General features: G+C 45.4%; 1 protein-coding gene across 7 annotated transcripts in view, besides 1 other annotated feature; it reads left to right on the top strand.

Moving 5' to 3' along the window:
- The window catches only part of BDH1 (3-hydroxybutyrate dehydrogenase 1), a 63,561-nt gene that overhangs the window by 4,067 nt on the left and 37,410 nt on the right, over positions 1-22,084 (top strand). For 2 of the 7 annotated variants that reach the window (XM_047448682.1, NM_004051.5), the window contains exon 1: positions 13,309-13,496. The exons of 2 other annotated variants lie outside the window; for them this stretch is intronic. The gene's annotated coding sequence lies outside the window, so the exon portion shown is untranslated. Of the gene's footprint in view, positions 1-5,180; positions 7,294-10,974; positions 11,068-12,422; positions 12,448-13,016; positions 13,497-13,769; positions 13,936-14,563; positions 14,716-22,084 lie in introns of those variants that run through there. 3 more of the 7 variants (XM_047448680.1, NM_203314.3, XM_047448679.1) reach the window with 3 other exon arrangements.
- Positions 6,722-6,821: an enhancer, noted in NCBI's record as "active region_21111". NCBI's record gives its function as "activates an Ori minimal core promoter by ATAC-STARR-seq in GM12878 lymphoblastoid cells {active_cell/tissue: GM12878}" and the evidence as "EXISTENCE:reporter gene assay evidence [ECO:0000049][PMID:35858748]".

Genomic DNA, 22,084 nt, shown 5'->3' with positions numbered 1-22,084 from the left:
CCTGTAACTCTAGAAAAAGGAAAAAAAAAACTGTACTCCAAATAGCTACAGAAACTGGGATTTTAAAAATCCCTTTCTTCAAAGAAAGAACCTCAGAACAATTGGTGGTGTGCTTAACCCAAAGCATTTGGAGTAGGACAGACTTGGGTGGGATCTGTCTTTGCCACTTCCTGGTTGTATTGTTGTGGGAAAGTTATTTGAACCTGCTAACTGTCAATGTGTTCAGTTGCAAATGGGAATAATCTTAGGCTACTTTTAGAATTGTTGCAAAAGTAAGTGAAATAATGCATAGAGGGCACTTGTCACAGTGGCTGGTACATAGAAATGAACCATTTATTGCTAAATTGTAGTATTATTGCAAACAGGGAGCCTGCATTGATTTATGATTCCACTCTAAGAATATAGCACAATCAGTGAGATATTATAAGGACTCAATCAGTGCAAACTGAATGAATGAATAAATTGCATGGGTTGCTGTAGCTTAGGGCAGGATGGGCAGAGGTGTTTTTTTTTTTAATCAAATATCCTCATATTGTTCCCTCTTCCAAGATCCTAGTTACCTCAAAAGAACATTGCTTAAATTTACAGACAACCCATACCCATGCACAAAATGCTTGTGCTTAAACAAACACTCAATTAATGAATACGTAAGAGTTAAGTGATAGAAAGTGGGTGGGGATGCCTGATACTCTCCATCTTTTTCCCTTGAGGTCAAGCACTTGTTTTACTTGCTCATTCACTGCAAGGAAAAGGCAGCTCCTCCAGTTCTCATTCATCCACAGATTTCAGCATTACAGTCACGTTAAGATCAGCTGTCAAAGGCTCTTTTCAACACACTAGATTCTGAGCACCACAGCTTCGTTTTAGAAGCAGCATAGAATAATATACTGGGCTTCTTTCCTTTGCTGTCAATTCCAGAAAAAGCTACTCAATACCTATAAAATTCTACAGATTAAGGGTATGATTTCCAGCCAAAAAAAAAAAACCCACAAAACTTTAATAAAATTCAATTGCATCAAAACAAACAGAAGACTGTGGGGTTTGGGGCAGTAGACAGTGTTTTTATTCCCTATCGCCCAGCAGAACTCAGCAAAGCAGGCTGCACGCTGGCTCTGTGAGGACTTGGAGGTGGCTGCCTAAGGGCAGGATTTAACCTGCACTGTCCTGAATTAACACTGAGCACTTAATACTGAGGGCAGAGAAGACCAGGGGCATTCAGACCCCGGGCAGGGCCAGATCCAGCAAGGGAGGGGCTGGGAATGATTAAATTCAGCTGGTATTGGAGGAGAGTGTGAGCTAGCAGGCAAACAGACAGGAGAGAACACCATGATCTCTCAGGTCAGGGGCCTCTTTTAGGGTACTTCATTCTGACTGAGAATCTTTCAGGATACTACCTCTTCTACAAAGCCTATCCTGAACCCTTATTAGAACTCTGATGACATTTATTTGTCCCTCTTTTAGAAGACTTACAGGACTTCTAATGATTCATTTAGCTTACATACATGCTTCATTTCCCTCCATAAACCCCCAAAATCTCAGGTGCCTCATTTCCCTCCATGAACCCCCAAAATCTCAGACAGGTCTCTCAGTTAATTCAGAAAGTTTATTTTGCGAAGGTTGAGGATGTGCACCTGTAACACTGCCTCAAGCGGTCCTGACGACATGTGCCCAAGGTGGTCAGAGCACAGCTTGGTTTTATACATTTTAGAGAGACATGAGAAGCAATCAACATATGTAAAATGAACATTGGTTTGGCCCAGAAAGGTAGGACAACTGGAGGCAAAAGCAGGACAGGGAGGGGGCTTCCAGGTCACGGGTAGATGAGAGACAAACAATTGCACTCTTTTGAGTTTCTGATTAGCCTTTCCAAAGGAGGCAATTAGATATGCATTTTTCTCAGTGAGCAGAGGGATGACTTTGAACAGAACGGGAGGCAGGTTGGCCCTAAGCAGTTCCCAGCTTGACTCTTCCCTTAGCTTAGTGATTTTGGGACCCCAAGATTTATCTTCCTTTCACGTTTCCCTCCTTTTCTTTTTAAAATCTTTTGGAGAAAGCATTTTAGGAGAAAATGAGTCCCTCGTCCCAGGTTTCATCTGGTGTCTCATGGCTAGGATGGTTTATTCCTAGATAGGTAGGTCCCAAGTTATTAGGAAAGCTCATATTTAGAAGGTTGTGAAGTCTCATGTCCTTTGAAGAGAAAACAGGGGGAAGAAGGTAGAAAAACAACAACAAACAAAAGAACAATCCTGGAAAATCGATATAGGCCACATTACTCTGAAGTTTATACATCAGTAGGTAGGTATGAAAGTGGCTAATGTATGTAAATAAGGTTGCTATTATTTTCTTCTGAAGGTTGTCTAGCTTCAGTTTGTGGGGCTTTATGAAAGCACAGCTCAGTTTTCAGTGACTCCAAATTAGGAAAAATGGGAAAAGAAGAAGAAAAAAATTGAAAACAAAGTAACAAAAATTACTTTGAAGACTTGGAGCCAAGAAAAATTAGAATTCAGTTCAAACTTTAAAAAATAATAAAAATCAAGAAACGTTAGGCAAGACTAGAATCTAACAACTGCTGTACTATAGTTTTGAATCATAATGTTTCTCTCTTCAGTTTCCCGTTTGTACTAAAGAAAAATCATGGTAGGACTGGTTTGCTTTACTATACTTGGCCTAATTATTTGTATACAATGCAGCCAGAGTAATTATTTTTTTACATAGGCTTTTAAATTGGCTTTGATGGAACTTTGTTCCATAGAAGGAATCTCAGATAAGACATTTTTTTAAAGCTGAGCCCAGCTATGGATTTGTGCCATCAGGTACCTATGAGTTGAGTGATCCTTTCCTCTTGAGGTTCCAAGATAAACTTGGGGCTCCTGGGCCTGTCAGAAAGTGACATTCTTTACTTATGACACATCAGGAACCCTTTACAATGGCTGTGTAGACAAAGGTATCACAGCAGTTTATCCAATGGGCTTTTATTGCCTCCATAAGTCAATTTTGAATCCTTAAAGGAAAGCACACCATTCCAGTCAAAACTTTAGTAAAATAACCAGTTTCTCCAATTGTGTCCTGTTACAAATGAAAACAGATTCTTATTGCACTTATGCAAATAACTGTATTGTCATAAGAATACTCACACATAGTTCCCAAATTTTGGAGAAATCAGGTTGACAGAAACAAATATGGTCTAAATTTTGTTCATAGAAGTATACTTCACTCAATTGTTAAAAGCTGTAAATAGCTTAAAAGACGTTTTCTTGTATCTGAAAAACAAAACAAAGGATCAGCAACATTTTAAGCAAAAAGTTTAAAAGATTACTTTAGTCTTTTATTAGATCAGCTCACGCAGTTAGCTTTTGTTCTGACATTCATGAACATTTCAGTTCTCCATGAGAGTCCTGAAAGTTTTTTTCTCTATTCTAATGTTCCAATCTCCAAAGTTATCAGAAACTTGCATCTAGGAACACCTGTTAGAGTTCTATAGTTGATTATAAAACCACTTTCTAAGGAGGACCAAAACAAGACAATTGTTTGTGGATGACAAAAGGTTTTAAGGCAGCCACAGTCAAAGACACAACTGACAAAGAAACTTATCTCTGTGGCAGCAACAATTTAACATAACAATTATAATTATTACTGATAATGTACATTAAGTCATATCAAAATTATAGGAGTTTCCCATGATTTTGGAACACATACCAATAACATATTTATATAAATACAGCCCAAAGAAAGCCAAACACCATTTCATATTTGACAAAGTTTCCTGTATGATTTTTATACCAAATAAGCCAAATTATGTCATTTTGGACTTCAGGAAACCTAATATCTTAAAGGATTAATTCAAGCAGAAAAAGACATAATTTATAATTTGATTTTGGAAAGGTTATCAAATATCAAAGGTTTAGAACACTTGATATCACAGGTTATTGTAAAATAAGTCATTCATTTGACCAAAGTGATAACTCAAGGATTTAAAAAAAAGGCAAAAACCTTCTCTTTGAGAAAAGAGAGCTAATTTTCCAAACAATAAGCCCTAGTAACAACAGCAGGAAGCTGGCTGGGTGCGGCGGCTCATGGCTGTAATCCCAGCACTTTGGGAGGCCAAGGCAGGTGGGTCACCCGAGGTTGGGAGTTTGAGACCAGCCTGACCAACATGGAGAAACCCTGTGTATACTAAAAATACAAAATTAGCCAGGCGTGGTGGCACATGCCTGTAATCTCAGCTACTAGGGAGGCTGAGGCAGGAGAATCGCTTGAACCTTGGAGGTGGAGGTTGCAGTGAGCGGAGATTGCACCATTGCACCCTAGCCTGGGCAACAAGAGCGAAACTCTATCTCAAAAACAAAACAAAACAAAAAACAAAACACAGCAGGAAGCCAATTAAATTTGTTCTCTAAAATTTTATAAACAATCTATAAAATTTTAATCTTGACCATAAGCTATAACTTCCATAAGCCTTTCATAACCTTTATAACCTTTACTTAGGAGTTGGTTAATATTTCATAAAAACCTTGTTAATTTGACATGGGCTCATATGCTGGTCTTGCATCAGTGTGCCTTTGACATTAATGATTAATTTATAGAGAAACTGAACTTATTTTATCTCTCAACATTGGCTCTTACAATCTCACATGCCCCTTTCCTGAGAAAGTTGAATGACTTGAATTTTTGGCCCTGTGTTTCAGGAATGCAGTTTATTTTGATTGGCATTTTCTACCGAGACTAAAGATGGGATTTTAATTGCTGTCAGTGTTTAAACTTTAGCAGGACTTGGTATCTTTTTTACACCCAGGAGTCAAAGCCCTGTAACTAAATGTCACAAGTACTTTAAAACCTCATACAGAGAGACATATGGGTGTAATAACCTTAACTTAAAAAAAAAATTTAATCTCAGTTTTTTCCCTAAGCAAACCAAAACTTAATAATAATATGACAACTTGATCATATAGGTTTTTTTAAAATAAATCCTCTTATTGTGACTTACACAGACTGTTCATGACATGCTTGGACTTTCTGGTTTGTCCTGAACATCCCTCTTTCTTAAGCAACCAGTCATTTTACTCTAGGACTAAATTTACCATACAAGATTCTTTCTTATATGAAATTATTTATCTTTAAGCTTTCTTACCAAAAAAAACCTCTTTATTTTTATAACTGTCTTTTTTTTTTTTTTTTTTTAGATGAAGTCTGGCTGTCACCCAGGCTAGAGTGCAGTGGCAAGATCTCAGCTCACTGCAACCTCCGCTTCCTGGGTTCAAGCAATTCTCCTGCCTCAGCTTTCCAAGTAGCTGTGATTACAGTAGCCTACCACCACGCCTGGCTAATTTTTGTATTTTTAGTAGAGATGGGATTTTACCATGTTGACCAGGCTGGTCTCAAACTCCTGACCTCAAGTGATCTGCCTGCCTCAGCCTCCCAAAGTGCTGGGATTACAAGTGTGAGCCACTGCTCCCAGCCATAACTTTCTTTACATCTCTTTTATTTTCCTGGTTCCTTTTATATTGTTTTAAACATGACCTTTAAATAAGCTTTGAATTAGACAAAAACTATTCATCTTTTTAAAAATGACACACTTTTTAAAAAGAATGTTTTCTTACAAATATATTTTTATTGGAAAATACCCATATAATGAAATATCTATTACTTAATTTAATATAACTTTAGATTCTAAATTATGAGTTTGTCTACAAGTATTACATTCACCTAATTATTTTAATTGTTTTAGATGATTTATGAAAACTGTGATAGTCATCATTTAAAGTTATGGAACCATCATTGCAAAATTATAACAGAGACGTGAAAAAGATTTGCCTAACTGACTCCATCTTGCTTTTAACCTCCAAACTCTCCTTGTTCATTCTTCTTTTCTCTCCTAGGAAATTGTTGTTTAAGGATCCTAATTCTAGTTCAGAGATGCATTCTAAAGGGTCTTCTTTTTCTTCTTGTCAGCTAATAGTCTTAAATTTGCATATTAAAGGAAACAACTCACATAAAAGTCAGACAGCAAAATTTACCTCGTAAGGTACAAAGTGAAAGTCTGGTGAGCTGGAGGGAAATTAAAATGAATTTAATTAACAATTGGACATAAAATTATAGACATCTATCATAAAGGCCTTCAAATACATACATGTGTACATGTACATACACACATACACACATACAGATTCTATAACTTTTACTCCAGTACTTTAGCCATGAGATAAATACAAATTTGCCAGCTTGCAAGAAAAACCCAAAAAACTATTAGACCCAAACAGTGGTTTTATCTCAGTGGAAAAATAACAGCAGACTTAAAGCATGGCAGAAAGGAAAATAGAGAAAAACGGACTAGGAACTCTAGAATTTGCAGGTTGACCTTAGGGCTCTTTTTCCTCAATGTAAATTTGCACAAAGACTGTATTACTTCCATTTTACTCTGGCAAATAGAGGTGCCATAAAACCAATAAGGTGCTCTAAAGGGGGTCATTCTCCTTGTTTTCTCCTCATTCTCAGATTGTTTCCTGCTTCTTTTTTTTTTTCTTAAAAGGAAGAATTGAGCTGTGGCCTAGGGTTTTTGTGCATGGATCGATGTGAGCTGCTTGTGGGCAGGACTCCACAGTGTGTCATCACTGAGTTGTTTCCAGCCTCTTATGCATCTCAGCTTCTCTCTCCAGAGGTCTATGTCCTCTGAGAGGGCTCAAAATGCCAGGTGATCAGCCCTTATATGCATTTCCTGGATGACCCATTTTTAAAATTAAATTTTTCTGGGGATTTCCCTGCAGGGCCACTGCATGTTGCAGGGGGTCAACTCCCCAGACGCTCCCACGAGGCCCCTGGTCACCCAGGGACGCCTTTCGCTGGAAAGAGCAAATGTCCTTTCTCTTTGGAGCTCAGAAAACTCAGTTTCTCATTTGCCTATGAAAACAACAGTTCAGTTCCTCAGACAAATGCACACAGACAAACACAATTGAGATTAATTATGGGAGAAAAAGCAATAGATAAGACCCTTTAGAATGCATCTCCGAACTAGAATTAGGATCCTTAAACAACAATTTCCTAGGAGAGAAGAGAAAAGAAAAGAAACCAGCCAAGACCACTTCCTGTAAACTGTGCTCAGCCACCCGTAACTTTGTAGTTCTCGTCTGCCATTACATGCTCCAAGGTCAAATCCTCTCACAGTGCAAGGTCATCTCTGGTTCCCCCAAAGCCAAAGAGGTCAGGTCATGCAATACAGGAAAACAGAGCTTTAGATGTAAGAAGAATCCGCCCACGACTCTTGAAACTTCACAGAGAAAACACAACACTCCAAAAGGGGTGAGTGGCCCCTTTGTTCTGAATTCTTTAAAGGGGTTCAAGTCATTAGAAGCCTTCTCTAGATTTTTTTGGTACTGCAGATGGCAAAGGGGGAAGGAGGTATAGGGTAGAAGAAAAGTAAATGAAATAAATATTTTTTTTTTAAGACAGGAAGCAAACACAGAAAGCAAGTGCATGTTTTTGTTGTTGTTGTTGTTGTTTTGTTTGTTTGTTTTAGCTGTGAGAAATTTTGGCCAGATTAGAAAGGCTTTGTTACCCGTAATTTGGAATTCTCACTCAGATTGGACCAAGTCTGGAAGAGTAGGTCAAATCTGATGGGAAAGCAACCAGAACAAACAACAACAACAACAAAACCCCAACAATATGATCACTGAGCACTCTAATGGTAAAGGAGAAATTCAGACCAGCTGGTTGTTAAACTTTAGCCAAGACAAAAACCCAACTCAGCTACTTACCTAGGGATGGGTCTCAGGCTGAAGACTGCTTTTTGTCATCCTAAAAGCAGGAAAAAACTCGAATTCATCTTCCCTGCTGGGAGTGAGCTCAAGCTCCCTGAAGGAGTTGTCTGCCTTCTATCGTCATGGAAAGAGGAAATCTTGCCTTCCTTGTTGGAAGCAAATAAAACTCCAAAAAAAAGGTGGGGGGGAGTTGTACAGAAAAATAAACTCTAGATCTTGACCAAATTTGGGGAGATCAAGGATTCTCTGGAGGGTGTGCTCCCAGACCTCAGCAAATTGTCCTATTGGTTTGAGCCGTAAGGTTAGCTCATGCTGCTACCAAGGACCAGTAGATCTGTCAAAGGTCAGGGGCATCTCCACTCAGAATCCCTCCATGGTTACCAAAATGTGAACCCCCCCAAATCTGAGACAAGTCTCAGTTAATTTAGAAAGTTTACTTTTCCAAGATTGAAGATGCACACCTGTGACACAGCCTCAGGAGGTCCTGATGACATGTGCCAAGGTGGTCATACGTTTTAGGGAGACATGAGACATCAATCAACATATGTAAGATGAACATTGATTTGGCCCAGAAAGGTGGACAACTTGAAGCAAAAGTGGGACAGGGAGGTGGGTTCCAGGTCACAAGTAGGTGAGAGACAAATGGTTACATTCTTTTGAGTTTCTGATTAGCCTTTCCAAAGAAGGCAATCAGATACACATTTATCTCAGTGAGCAGGGGGATGACTGAATAGAATGGGAGGCTGGGTTGCCCTAAGCTGTTCCCAGCTTGACTTTCCCTTTAGCTTAGTGATGTGGGGGCCCCAAGATATTTTCCTTTCACACCTGTTTGAAATGCTTGTTCCTTGGTGCAGTAAAGAAATAGCACTTGAACATTGATTTCCTCAGCAAGGCCATTTTTATACTTTCTACAGAAAGGGTACACTCACCAGCAGTTTTGCCGTGAGCATACACAGAACAAAGCAGACGGGGTCATTTATAACCTGACACATCCGCCCTACTGCTGTGTCTGGTTTCCATTGGCTGGAACAGGACCTCACATTCTGTATTTGTCCTGATTGGCTAGTAACTTAGAACTTTTTAAAAGAGGCAAAGGCAGAGGAGAACAAAGGAAGGAGAAAGTAACTTGTGGAATGCTGAGAAAGGTAAAAACACCTTCAAATAAGGAAGAGGAACAGGCTATGACCTAATGCTTGCTTGGACCAGTATAAGCACACCACGGCAAATATTTAGGCTAAATTGTGGGAGCTAAGAACATATGATTTCTTTATTAAGGCTAGCAGATTTTAAGAATGTTAGCACAGGTCTTTGAATAAATTTTGCTTCTAAGAGAAGTTACTATTTATTCCTAATTAGAGGGGAGGAAAGTCTTTGAAGACTCACCTCTACTTTACTTTTCACACCTCCTTGAAGGCAGGGACTAAGGACTGTTTCCCTCCCAAAACTAACGTGCTAATTTGCAAACAGTACCTCCCTGGGTTGAGGAGAGTGTGCTGAGTGCTGAATACCCTGGCCTGAGGCCTTGTACCTGAACAGAGAGGAGGTGGTTTTACAGTAGGGGGAGGGAGAGAGAATCTTGGTGCATGCAGTGTTGGGAGTGACCTGATTTCCACAGACTGTCTGTGTTCAACCTCACAGCCGAATGTTTCTCCAGTTCCAAAGTCAACAACCAGAACGGTAGAAGGTGGGGAAAGGTTGAAGGTGGGGCTGAGAATGGCTTTGTCTGACCCCTTAACCCAGTCCCAACTCCTCAGTTGGCCCTTTCTCCTGGGAGTCTCTTGCTACTATCTGTGTCAGAGTTCACTCGTGATGCCCTAAGGGGCAGGGCCTTTGGGAAATAAAGGAGAAAAAGCACAAACCAAACAAATAAATTCTTCCTTAGCAGGGTTGGGAAAGATAAGCTGAGATGTCTCTTTTGGGTTAACCATTGGCTTAATCTGGGTTCCCCCAAATAGCAGAGCCTGAGCAAGGACTTGTGTATAGGTAGTTTATTTGGGGAATGAATCTGTTTTGTATGGTTAAAATAAGGAGAAGATCAAAGTATGAGTTCATGAATCACACAGTTTATTGCCATACAAAGAGGTCTTTCTTTTTCACAATTCTTAAAAAGGGGGAGAATAATGAGAACAAATCTCACAGGGGATACACTCAACAGACAAGGTACATTAATCACATAATGAATGAGTTCCAATTTCATTTAGAGTCCAATTATTAAAGTTCAGTTGAAGCTGAGCATGGTGGCTCATGCCTGTAATCCCAGCACTTTGGGAGGCTGAGGTGGGCAGATCATCTGAGGTCAGGAGTTCAAGACCACCCTGGCCAACATGGTGAAACCCCATCTCTACTAAAAATACAAAAATTAGCTGGGCGTGGTGGCGGGCACCTGTCCCAGCTACTTGGGAGGCTAAGGCAGGAGAATCGCTTGAACCCTGGAGGCGGAGGTTGCAGTGAGCCGAGATCGCACCATTGCACTCCAGCCTGGGTAACAAGAGTGAGATTCCATCTCAAAAAAAAAAAAAAAAAAGTTCAATTGCCCACTTAGGATGGAAAGCAGGCTTTTGTGGATGCAAAGTCCAATCAGAGTTTGAGGCACTACTTTCTAGGAGAGGTTCTCGGGAGGGACAGCTTGACTAATACAATGGAGATCCATGAAGATACGTGAGGTCTCTTGCTGCTAGAGAGCGGTGCCAGTGTTGTGAGACAAGGCTTCAAAAACAGCTTCAAGGCTTCCAGAGAGTGGCCTCGCCACATCCTAAGCTCTCCAAGCGTCTGTCAAAATCCTGGGTTTCTATGTGTTTGGAGTCCAGTGGTTGAGGTCAGTAGCTCCCATGCGGGGTCTGATAAGGTGTGACATGACATTCCCTTGGCTAGGGAGAGTTCCCTGCATGTTCTAATCACAGTAAAACAATATCACTCTCACAGAAAAGTGAAAGTGTTCGGAATCATTTAAAGCTACATAACAAAATCCCAAGGAATTGGAGGGGAGGGCTGGGAAGAGTCAAATAGGGAAGGAGGGAAAGAGAATGGCATCCAAGGGTGTATTCGTGAGTTGATCAAGTCGGTCACTACTATGGGCAAACAGAATGCTATCATTTTAGGAGCTGCATAGAACATATCTCAGAATTGCCCACTGGAAGACTGGAAGAGCAGAGTATTTTTCCTGCAGTTCCTGCCTGCCCTTTGGTCAAAGTTTGTCCTTTGAGGTGTTCCTTTGCACTTCCAGGTTTACTCATGTGTCAGAGTGGACAGCGGATTCCTGCAAGGGTCCCAGGTTGCAGTGCCAGAGACGCAGAATACCAGGTGCAGCTGAGGCAAGGTGCTCTCAGGTTACACCTGTTCATACCTGGTTGTCACAGCAAAGCTGGGCTGGGAAGATGTAAGGCCAGATGTGTAATACAACCTCAGAAAGGTCAAATGTCCTTTTCTGTCTTATGCAAATAGGACTACAATTCAGTTTAATTCTCAGAGTCAGGATCTATGTTTTTTCCCTTGGGGTAAAGAAGAATTCTTCCTTTAACTACTTTTCTAGCAAAGCATAATCCTCAAGGCGTAATTTTAGTATAGTGATTTATTTTTAACCCTGTGGTACTATATGCCTAATGTTCTGAAACACCGTCACTGGAGCAAATCCAGGCTTGAGTCTATCTGTGAAACGGGAACAGAAAACTAAGTGCATCCTCCCTTCCTGATTCTCCCAGTCTTCAAGGCTGTATGTGCCAGGAGCTGGGGATAAAGGAGATAGCCTTAGCTCTCCAGAAGCTCACAGAATGGACAGACAGAGCCAACAGTTTTATTTGTTTGTTTGTTTTTTGAGACAGTCTCCCACTGTTGCCCAGGCTGGAATGCAGTGGCACCATCTCAGCTCACTGCAACCTCTGCCTCCCAGGCTTAAGCAATTCTTCTGCCTCAGCCTCCCACCTAGCTGGGATTACAAGCATCCACTACGAAGGGCAGGGTTTCACCACATTGGCCAGGCTGGTCTCAAACTCCTGGCCTAAAGTGATCCACCCGCCTCAGCCTCCTACAGTGCTGGGATTATAGGCGTGAGCCACCGCACCCGGTCTACAGTTTTCTTTAAATCTTCATCATGCCAGTACTTCCCTCCTCCTGTTTTCATCTTCCTGTATTTGCAAGTTTCATTCATTCTCTTCATTCTATTCATTCCTTCTCTGTACTTTACCTAAACATAGTTGTGAACCCCCAAAATCTGAGCCAGATCAATTTAGGAAGTTTATTTTCCCAAAGTTAAGAATGCACGCAAGTGAAATGGCCTCAGGAAGTCCTGACATGTGCCTAAGGTGGTTGGGACACAGCTCGGTTTTATACATTTTAGGGAGACATGAGACATCAATCAACATATGTAAGATGAACATTGGCTCAGTCTGGAAAGGTGGGACAACTCGAAGCAAGGAGGGAGCCCCCAGGTTATAGGTAGATGAGAGACAAATGGTCGCATTCTTTCGAGTTTCTGATGAGCCTCTCCAAAGGGGGAATCAGATATGCATTTATCTCAGTGAGCAGGGGGTGATTTTGAGTAGAATGGGGGCAGGTTGGCCCTAAGCCGTTCCCAGCTTGACTTTCCCCTTTAGCCTAGTGATTTGGGGGCCCCAAGGTTTATTTTCCTTTCGCGTAGCTTCGCCACTAATGTGTCCTGGTGTCTTCTCTCCTCAGCCTGTTTCTCATCCTGGAAACTGAGGTGTGCTGGCGCAGGGCGATAGCGCAGTGGGGTGGGGTTGGGAGGAAACCCTTATCTGTGGCCGATGGCCCTCCGTTGTTCTATTATTAAAACTCTGGGAAACTGCTATTCTTAATTTATTTTTAAAGACCCTGAGAAGCAAATCTTTAATTTTTTTGTTTTTGTGAGACGGAGCACTCTGTCGCCCAGGCTAGAGTGCAATGGTGCAATCTCGGCTCACTGGAACCTCCGCCTCCTGGGTTCAAGCGATTCTCCTGCCTCAGCCTCCCGAGTAGCTGGGATTACAGGCGTGCGCCACCGCGCCCTGCTAACTTTTGTATTTTTAGTAGAGACTGGTTTTCACCATGTTGGCCAGGCTGGTCTCGAACTCCTGACCCCAAGTGATCCACCTGCCTCAGCCTCCCAAAGTGCTGGAATTACAGGCGTGAGCCACCGCCCCCGGCCTTTAAATAAATTCATCTGATCAAAAGAAATTTAAAAACCAACCAACCCTAATGAGCTCTAAAGACAGCAACACGCACAGGACCTGGAAAGAGCCTCTTCCTCACCGGAGTTTTCCTCACTTCAAGGAGCGGCGCCTTCACCCTCCGGCCTCAGCCCGCGAGGCTGCAACCCTTTCCGCACCTGGCTCCATCTCCCTGGCCCTCGCCCCCGCCCAGCGGTCGGGGAGCGAGAAGGCGGCGGGGGATCTGGCGCCCGGCTTAGGGGCGAGACGGCCGCACCGGGAGCCTAGCGATCAGGGCACCTTGGGCGGGAGGAGCGCCAGCCGGGCACCCAGCGCGGAGGAGGCGGCTCGGCGGCCCCCCGACAGCCACGCCGCCGTGAGCCCCGCCCAGCGTAGCCCCAGCGCGCGCTTCGCGTGTAGAAGCGTCCGGGTGGCGGAGGCCGCAGGCCGCAGGAGTGCTGGTGGAGGGGCTTCCAGAAAGACCCTGCGGCAGCGCCCCCCCTCGGCTCTCCCCGCAGGAGAGCGGGCACCTGCGCGGCGCCGGGTGAAGGCGAGAGCCTCGGCGAGCCCTCTGCAGCGGAGCCCCCTGCCCATTTGGTTTTGGGTAAGAGGAGGGGTCCGCGTCTCTGCAGCTCGGGCGGGATTCCCTGGCGCCCTCTACTCGGTTTGGTTCGGCCTCACGTGTTCCTTTAGCTCCGAAGCCGGGATACGGGTGGGGAAGGGGGGCTCGCGCCCTACAGGCCGAGCCCTGCGGCCGCAGCGGGGTAAGGGTAGGATGGCCGATCGCGCCCAGACCCCAGGGAGTCTCCCTCTCGGCTTTTCTGCCGGCGTCTCCAGCAGCATGATCTGGCATTTATTATTCGGAATAATGTGCCAGGCAGGAGGAGGCCCTGGGTTAAACACGCGGCCCTGCAGCTCCCAGGTGAAACGACTCATCGTTTCCTGCCGGCGCATCTTACTGAAGGGGACCCAGGCCCCACGAAGGGAAGGAACCGTCCTCAAGGTCACGTCGTAGTCAAAGGCCGAGCCCAGACCGAAGCCAGGTGTCCTGCCTTCTAGCCCCGGGCTCTAGGCCCTGTCCCCTTCCCGACCGAATCTCCCAGTCCCGTCCGCGTCCCTCCTCCTCCTCCTCCTCCGGGGTCCTCCGCAAGGCTCTGTTCCCGGGGTTTGGGGAGTCCTCCCTCCGCGCCACAGCGCCCTGGGGAAGAATGCTGGACAGCAGGCAGGCCACAGGGCCGGGGAAGGAGGAGGAGCCGCGGGGACAGGCTGGGGATGCCAGAGTGGTGGTGGGCCCGGGACTGGCCAGGGTGGGAGTCCAGGCGGCGCACCCGCGCGAGGACAAGGGGGCTTTGGCTGGGCGGTGCTGTCTCAACCAATGGGAAGCGTGGCTCTGGCCGAGCCCCCCTCTCTCCCCGCCCTCCGGCCGGCCGTTGGGGAGCGCTGCTCTGGGATTGGCTGCGCCGCCGTCTCGGGCGTTCTCGCGCTCTGCTTACGTGCTGACGCGCGCCTGATAGATACCCTGTGGGTTTGAGCGCTCCGGTCGGTCCCTAGCGGCCCAGGCGCCTTGGGCGTGCGTCCTGCGCGCGGCCGCCTCCAGGCTGCGCCCTTCTGGGGAAGTGTTTGGTGCTGCGCGCGGCGTCGAACTCCGCGTTTTTTTTTTTTCTTTTCCAGCCAGTCAGCCTGGAAATCTGCCTGTAGTCAGCTGATGCAGAGTCACCCTGCAGTTCCTACTTTGAGGGGTTGCAGAAGCACATATTTCACTATGGAGGGCCGCCTGCAGGCCTCGCGCTGACAGGATCTTTTGTGACGCTGCAAATGTCCTGGTCAGTGTCCTTCTTTCTACAAGAGGCGTTGGAGCCGGGCTCTGCATAGGGCGTATATATCCCTGGCCGCCAAGGAAGCTGACCCTTGAAATTTGTGAAGCTTTCATATTCACTCAATACACATTTACAGAGCCTCTACTTCCTGTCAGGCGTCACACAATAAATATTCGGAGGAGCAAGAAGAGAGTGATTCAACATTTGGGTCTTGTCTGTAGGGTGCTCACAGTCCGGGTGGGGATTGGTGGTAGGATGGGGGCTTGTGAATGTTTATAAACAGAAATCCCTCGAATACGACCCTGGCTAGGTAGGTGCAGTTACAGAGGCACAGAAGGGAGGAGATTGGGCGAAAGATTTTTGAATTAGGGGATTAGAAAAGGCTGCTCGGGAGAGTTATCTGAACCAGCTAGGACTTGGTCAGATGCAGTCAGTTTGGTATAGGATGAGCAAGGCTCGAAAATTGGAAAGTACAGGGCTTGTTGAGGGATGGTGTAGCAAACGGTTGAATGAGTAGAGGAGAAAAGTATAGTTGGAGATACGGTTTGGAGGAGCCAGGTGAGGACTCGGGGGCTCAGCTTGTGTCCTCGGGTTTGAAATGCAGTAAGCACTTGTGAATAGAAAGGCTGCTTAATCATTTGCACTACTGTCATTTGTTACACCTAGACCAAACATCTTGGAAATGGCTTTGATTCTTCCTTCTTTCATATCCTACACTCAATCTGTTGGTAAATGGTAGCGGACTCTACCTTCAATATAAAGCCAGACTTACCAATTCTAATCAGTTCCATGGTTTTCACCAAGGCTGGTGTACATTTCTAAGGAACACGTTTTCACATCTCACTGCAGTGGTGCAATATACAACCCTCATGACTGCACATGGTGGCCCTGGATTACTGCCACAGATCCTAATGGGTCTCCCTGCTTCTGCTCTAGTCCATCCTCAACTTATTAACCCAGTGAGAGTTACCTTTTTAAAAATGTAAGTCTGATAATGGCACTCCTCTTCTTAAAACTCTTCTTTTTTTTTTTTTTTTTTTGAGACAGAGTCTTGCTCTGTTGCCAGGCTGGAGTGCAGTGGCGTGATCTCGGCTCACTGCAATCTCCACCTCCTGGGTTCAAGTAATTCTCCTGCCTCAGCCTCCCAAGTAGCTGGGACTACAGGCGCGAGCGACCACACCCAGCTAATTTTTGTATTTTTAGTAGAGACGGGGTTTCACCATGTTGGCCAGGATGGTCTCGATCTCTTGACCTCGTGATCTGCCCACCTCGGCCTCCCAAAGTGCTGGGATTACAGGCGTGAGCCACCACACCCAGCCAAAACTCTCTTAATTCATTTAATTATGTACCAGCCAGGCGTGGTGGCACACACCTGTAATCTCAGCACTTTGGGAGGCCGAGGTGGGCAGATCATTTGAGGTTAGGAGTTTGAGACCAGCCGGGCCAACATGGTGAAACTCCGTCTCTACTAAAAATACAAAAATTAGCCAGGCATGGCGGTGCATGCTTGTAACCCCAGTTACTTGGGAGGCTGAGGCAGGAGGATTGCTTGAACCTGAGAGGTGGAGGTTGCAGTGAGCCAAGATTGCACCCCTGCACTCCAGCCTGGGTAACAGAACGAGATTCCATCTCAATGAATCAATCAATCAATATTGTGTGTCTGTTGTGTGCAGGGCACTGCTGTACATGTTGGAGATACAACAGTGAACAAAACAGACAAAAATTCCTGTTCTCAAAGAGCTTATATTCTAATGAGACTGAACAACAACAAACAAGATAAATATGTACAACATGTAGAATGCTATAATGTAATAAAGTGCCAAGGAGGAGGAAAAAATGGAAGCAGAGAAGGGGGATAGTCAGGGTTGGGGTGGGATAGATGGGGTGGCCAGAGAATGTCTTAGTAAACATTTTAGTAAAGGACTGTGGATATTGAGGGAAGAGTGTTCTAGGTAGAGGGAACAGTAAGGACAAAGGCCCTGAAGCAGGAGCTGGCTTGCTATGTTCCAAAGACAGCAAGAAAGCCACTGTGACCAAAGTGCAGTGAACCAGGTAGGAATGAGGTCAGAGGGACAATGGAGACCCAGAACATGGAGGGCCTTGTAGGCAAACTCTAGATTTTGGCTTTTACTCTGGCAGGAGTTTGGTGAGGCGTGACATGATCTGATTTATGTTCCGCAAGATCCTGCAGGCTGTGTTGACCAGAATCTGGAGGAACTACAGTGGAAGCGGAGAGTCTAGTTGGGAGGCTACTGCAATAATCCAGGCAAGAAGGGATGAAGGCTTGGACTAGGCTGGTAGCGGAGGATCCTAGATATATGTGAAGGTGGCATTGATAGGACTTGCCGAGCACTGGGCCGTGGAGTGTGCAGGAAAGGGGAGTCAAGAATGAGGAAGATTTAGAGGAACAGGTCTGCAGGACAATAGCACAGGCTCAGTTTTGCACAGGTTGCATTTGAGATACGTAGTAAACATTCAAGTGGAGATGTTAGATGCGCAGTTGTCTGAGTTCAGGGGAGAAGGTTGGGTTGGAGATCAACCTTCGGGAGTTGGCGGCATGTGAATCGTATTTAAAGCTATGAGTGCTCGTCATGGTGCGGAGAACAGACCAAGAACAGAGTCCTGAGACTCCGTTGTTTAGTGGCCTGCCTTTAATTTGGTAGGCAAGCCCTGTTCTCCTAGTGAAAAAATGCCCACTTGATCTGGCAGTTGTAATTATGGCAGTTTTGACAGCTCGGGTAACACTTTGTCTTGGGGAAGGACAGAAGAGGAGTGGAATGGGGGAAGCACAGGTTCCAGTGTCGTTATAAGGTCATTATAAATGAGGCATTCTCAGAATAGGGGTCAAAACTGAGAATTAATACACCTCATATGCTGTTGGTGGGAATGTAAATTAGTACAACCACTACAGAGAATAGTTTGTAGGTTCCTCCAAAAACAAAAAATAGAGCTACCATAGGATCCAGCAGTGCCACTGCTGGGTATATACCCAAAAGGAAGGAAATCAGTATATTGAAGAGATATCTGCACTCCCATGTTGGTTCCAGCACTTTTTACAATAGCTAAGATTTGGAAGCAACCTAACTGTCCATCAGCAGATAAATGGATAAAGAAAATGTGGTACATATACACAATGGAGTAGTATTCAGCCAGAAAAAAAGAATGAGATCTGTCATTTGCAACAACGTGGATGGAACTGGAGGTCATTATGTTAAGTGAAATAAGCCAGGCACAGAAAGACAAGCTTTGCATGTTCTCACTTATTTGTAGGAGCTAAAAATTAAAACAATTGAACTCATGGAGATGTAGTAGAATGATGGTTACCAGAGGCTGGGACAGGTAGTGAGGGTCTGTGCAGTGGGGAGAAGATGGGATGGTCAATGGGTACCAAAAAGTTAAAGAGAATGAATAAGAACTAGTATTTGCTAGCATAACACAGCGACTATAGTCAATGATCATTTAATTGCACATATAAAAATAACTAAAAGAGTATAATTGGATTGTTTGTAACACAAAGGAGAAATGCTTGAGGGGGTGGATACTCCATTTTCCCTCAGGTGATTATTACACATTGTATGCCTATATCAAAATAGTACCCCGTAAATATATAGAACTACGACCTACCCATAAAAATAAAAAGTTAAAAATAATAGTGTTCTGCCTTCAGTTTTAGCTACTATTGATTTGGTGGCAAGTGGCAGAAACGTCCAGCCTGCTTAAATTACACAGAGACTGTAAAGGCACAGCATGGCTTCTGGAGCTGGGGGGCAGATGGGAGGCGGCTGCTGCTGCTGTTGCTTTTCTCCCTCCCTCCCTCCACCTCCACCCCTGCTGCTTTCTGCATGAGCATCTTATCCCCCCACCCCCTGCAGATCGGCTTTCTCCCTCTCTCTGTGGCTTCAGGGCCCAGTGGAGTGTAGCTGCCGTCCTCCAGCAGCGCCATTGCATGGCCCTGCGCCACAGAGCATGGTTCGCATTCTCTCACGGTGCCAGGGGACAGAACAATGGGCTCACCTTGGGTCTGGTGTCTCTTCCTGGCTCAGTCCTCCGTGACCAAAGCATAGTCTCTGCAGCTGCAGAGGCCAAATCCTATGAGGGAGGGGCAGGTCTGAGAGGAGGGGACATCAGGTGAGCAGGACAGACCCCCGAAAGGTAGTCACTGCAGAGTGTATGTGGTGTGTTATCGGAGGAGAACTGGTCGCCACCGAAGCCTAATCTGGTGACTGGAATGTCTCTCAGGACGATCAAGGTGTCTGCATTGGGTGTGCCTAATGTTAGACCCTTGGCTTTTATTGAAGGTCCCTGTGAAACGAGCCATGTGAGTGTCATCTCTGCATGTATGATACAGTGGTGGTGAGAACACTGTCTACTATATCACTTGATGTTCCTGTGTAATTATTTCTGACTTTTGTTTGAGAATGGTTACTTCTCTAAGGAATGTTAGGTGTCTTTTTGAATGAGGGCTTGAGAACTTGTCAGGTTTCCCGTTTGCATGACCTCAAGGAAGCTCCCACGTATAGCTGAGCTGGGTTGGAACTTTCAAGCAAGACTCTACGAAATGTTCGGAAGAGGAATGGCCAAATATATATATAATAGTTATTTGATTATAGTGCATATATAGATATATATGGTCAGGAATCTCAAAACTCAAATGCCCATAGTGTCCAGGCAATTAACAAAGATGATATGGATAGTTTTAACATAGTAAGTACAAACTGTTTGTATTGAGTTCAAGCATAGCTTAGCTGCCTAGTTACACTGCTTTTTAAAACAGCAGGCTGGCCAAACAAATCAGCCAAGTAGAACATGTTTAGGTAGGCTGCCAGTTGTAGGATTTGGGAAGCTGACACAGAAACTTGCTGGTCTGAAGCTCTTCAGTGTGAGGTCTCTGCATTGGCTGTTTCCCTGCATAACCCCAGCTTGCCCTCCTCGGGGGCAGGACCTTTGCCTCCCACTTGGGAGTGGCAAGGGCCCATGTAGGCTTCATGTCCAGAAACACCTGAGTTCTCTTTCCTGCCTTGTGTGACCCGGTTTGCTGCGGATACCTTGCCTCTGCTGAGAATGTTAGTACTGGGAATGCCTGCCCCTTTGAGGGGAGCCCCTGCTGCTGCCTCACAGGAAAGCCCCCAGCTGTGACCTCTGCAAGATGGTCATGTTGGAATGGAACACAGTGAGCCCAGCAGTGAGGAAGGATGCGCACGCTGTTTTCTTTTTTTCTGGAGTAGGAGTGCTTTCCATGTGTTATACCTTGACAGTGGAGCGGGCCCTTGAGAGAAGCCCCAAGTGTTTCTAGCATTAAAAAATGTCTCCAAGATTCCAGGTTGATATGTGAGCATCGTGATTTTGTGACAGTATCTTATGAGTTTGGTCCCTGGGAGTCAAGCCCCCTGTGCTCAGTCACCTCAGGGCAACTAATTACTTGACTTTCAAGGCTGAGGAGACTGAGCACCCGCCTCCCACAGCCATTTCTGTTCCCAAACTAAAAGGCAAGAAAGTGGTGTGTGAAGTTTGAGAACTTAATATTTACAGAGAATAAGGCCTGGCACAAAACATGAAGATGGCAGACAGCTACCCTGAAGAGTCTTTGGGAGCCCTGCAGTGGAAATAGCTGCATGTTTAAGAAACACGCATGCAACAGACTACATTGAGAACAGTGCATTGTTCAAGGGACTGAGTTTTTTGTGTTTTTTTTGTTTTTTTTTGTTATTTTTGTTTTTGAGACGGAGCCTTGCTCTGTCACCCAGGCTGGAGTGCAGTGGCGTGATCTCAGCTCACTGCAACCTCCGCCTCCTGGGTTCAAGCGATTCTCCTGCCCCAGCCTCCCGAGTAGCTGGGACTGTGGGCGCCCGCCACCACGCCTGGCTATTTTTTGTATTTTTAGTAGAGACAGGGTTTCACCATGTCAGCCAGGCTGGTCTCGAACTCATGACCTCAGGTGATCCACCTGCCTCAGCCTCCCAAAGTGCTGGGATTACAGGCGTGAGCCACCACGCCTGGCCAAGGGACTGAGTTTTTATGCACTTTTAATTATTTTGGCTTTAGTACTTTTAGATATGGCTGACTTCAAGGAAAACAAAATGGAAAGCAGCTGTCTATTTGGAGATCATATTAAAGCATTTTCTGCCACAGGCATTGAGCTAAGGGGTGGAAAGGACTTTAATTATAGATGACTGGATGGGAAGTTTCCCAGTGATGGTGACCTCAGACTCTGGTCCTGGGTCTTGGAGGGAGGAGGTAGAGATGTGTGTGCTTAGCCAGCTGGTCAGTACTTAGATGGTGGGAGGGGGTGCCTCATGAAAAAGTCTGAGCCAACGTGGGCCTGTGCCTTCCATAAAACCATAAAAAGCCAGTCTGGGCTCCATTCTGCTGCTCTCTGCAAGGAGCTTTCCATGGAAACTTCTTTTGTGGCCACAGGCCGACTTTCCACCCCCAGACTGCCCTGCGGGAGCCCGCTCAGCTCCCATCCACTCCCCAGGGACTCAGAGTGCCTCCTTTGCGTCAGGCTCGTTCTAGGCACTGAGGATTTGGTGGTGAACCAGGTGGAGAGGATTCCTGGTGTCACTGAGCTTAGGATCTAGTAGAAGATAAAGTAAATAAACATAATTTTGAATTAAGGTAGCTGCTATGAGAGTGATCTTACAGAGAGCAACCTGTGTGTTGAATGGGAGCCACTTTAGTGAGGGAGACAGAGGACTCAGCATCCAGGATGAGGGCAGAGCAGGAGCCGGTACTCTGAGGCAGGAACGCCCTCACGTGGGCAAGGAGTTCTTGGAGTCAGTGGTGGCTGCGACGCAGTGAGCAAAGAGGAGGGTGGCCCAGTGAGCTAGGGGCCTCCAGGGAGGGAGAGGCCAGCCCCCACGGGCATGGAAAGTTGGCTTTAAACACGGAAGTCGCATAGCTTGACCGGTGTTAAAAAGGTTTCTTGGGCTGCTGTGCTGAGAATGGGGGTGTGGCAAATAGGGGCAGGAGTACAAGCGAGAGTTTACTGTAGTTCTGGAAAGGTAACACCAGAGAGGTTTCTGCCTGCTTTCCTTTCCTGAGGATTAAACAGATTAAACGCCTCCACCTGCTTCCAGCAGAGTGCATGGCAGTGGTTGCTCAGTTAACACTGCTGACCTCTGGGCCCAGGTGGCTGGTTATCAGTAAGGTTTGGGGTGGCAGCAAACAGGCAGGGGAGGAGCCTCCCAGGCAGTACCTTATTACCAGGAACAGTATGACAGACTACAGCCAGGTAGGCAAAGGAGAGGCTGGAACCCATTTACCAGCCCGCCTTCCTTCCCTTAGGCCTGGAGGAATCACTATTAACAGAACAGGAGGGCAACGCATGCCCGTGCTGATCAGCGGTCAATAATGCTGAAGAGTCGTGGTGCCTAGC

Source organism: Homo sapiens, chromosome 3 (assembly GCF_000001405.40).
Source record: "Homo sapiens chromosome 3, GRCh38.p14 Primary Assembly".
NCBI lineage: Eukaryota > Metazoa > Chordata > Mammalia > Primates > Hominidae > Homo > Homo sapiens.
The sequence above is the reverse complement of the archived record's forward strand: the minus strand, read 5'-3'. Positions and strand labels throughout refer to the sequence as shown.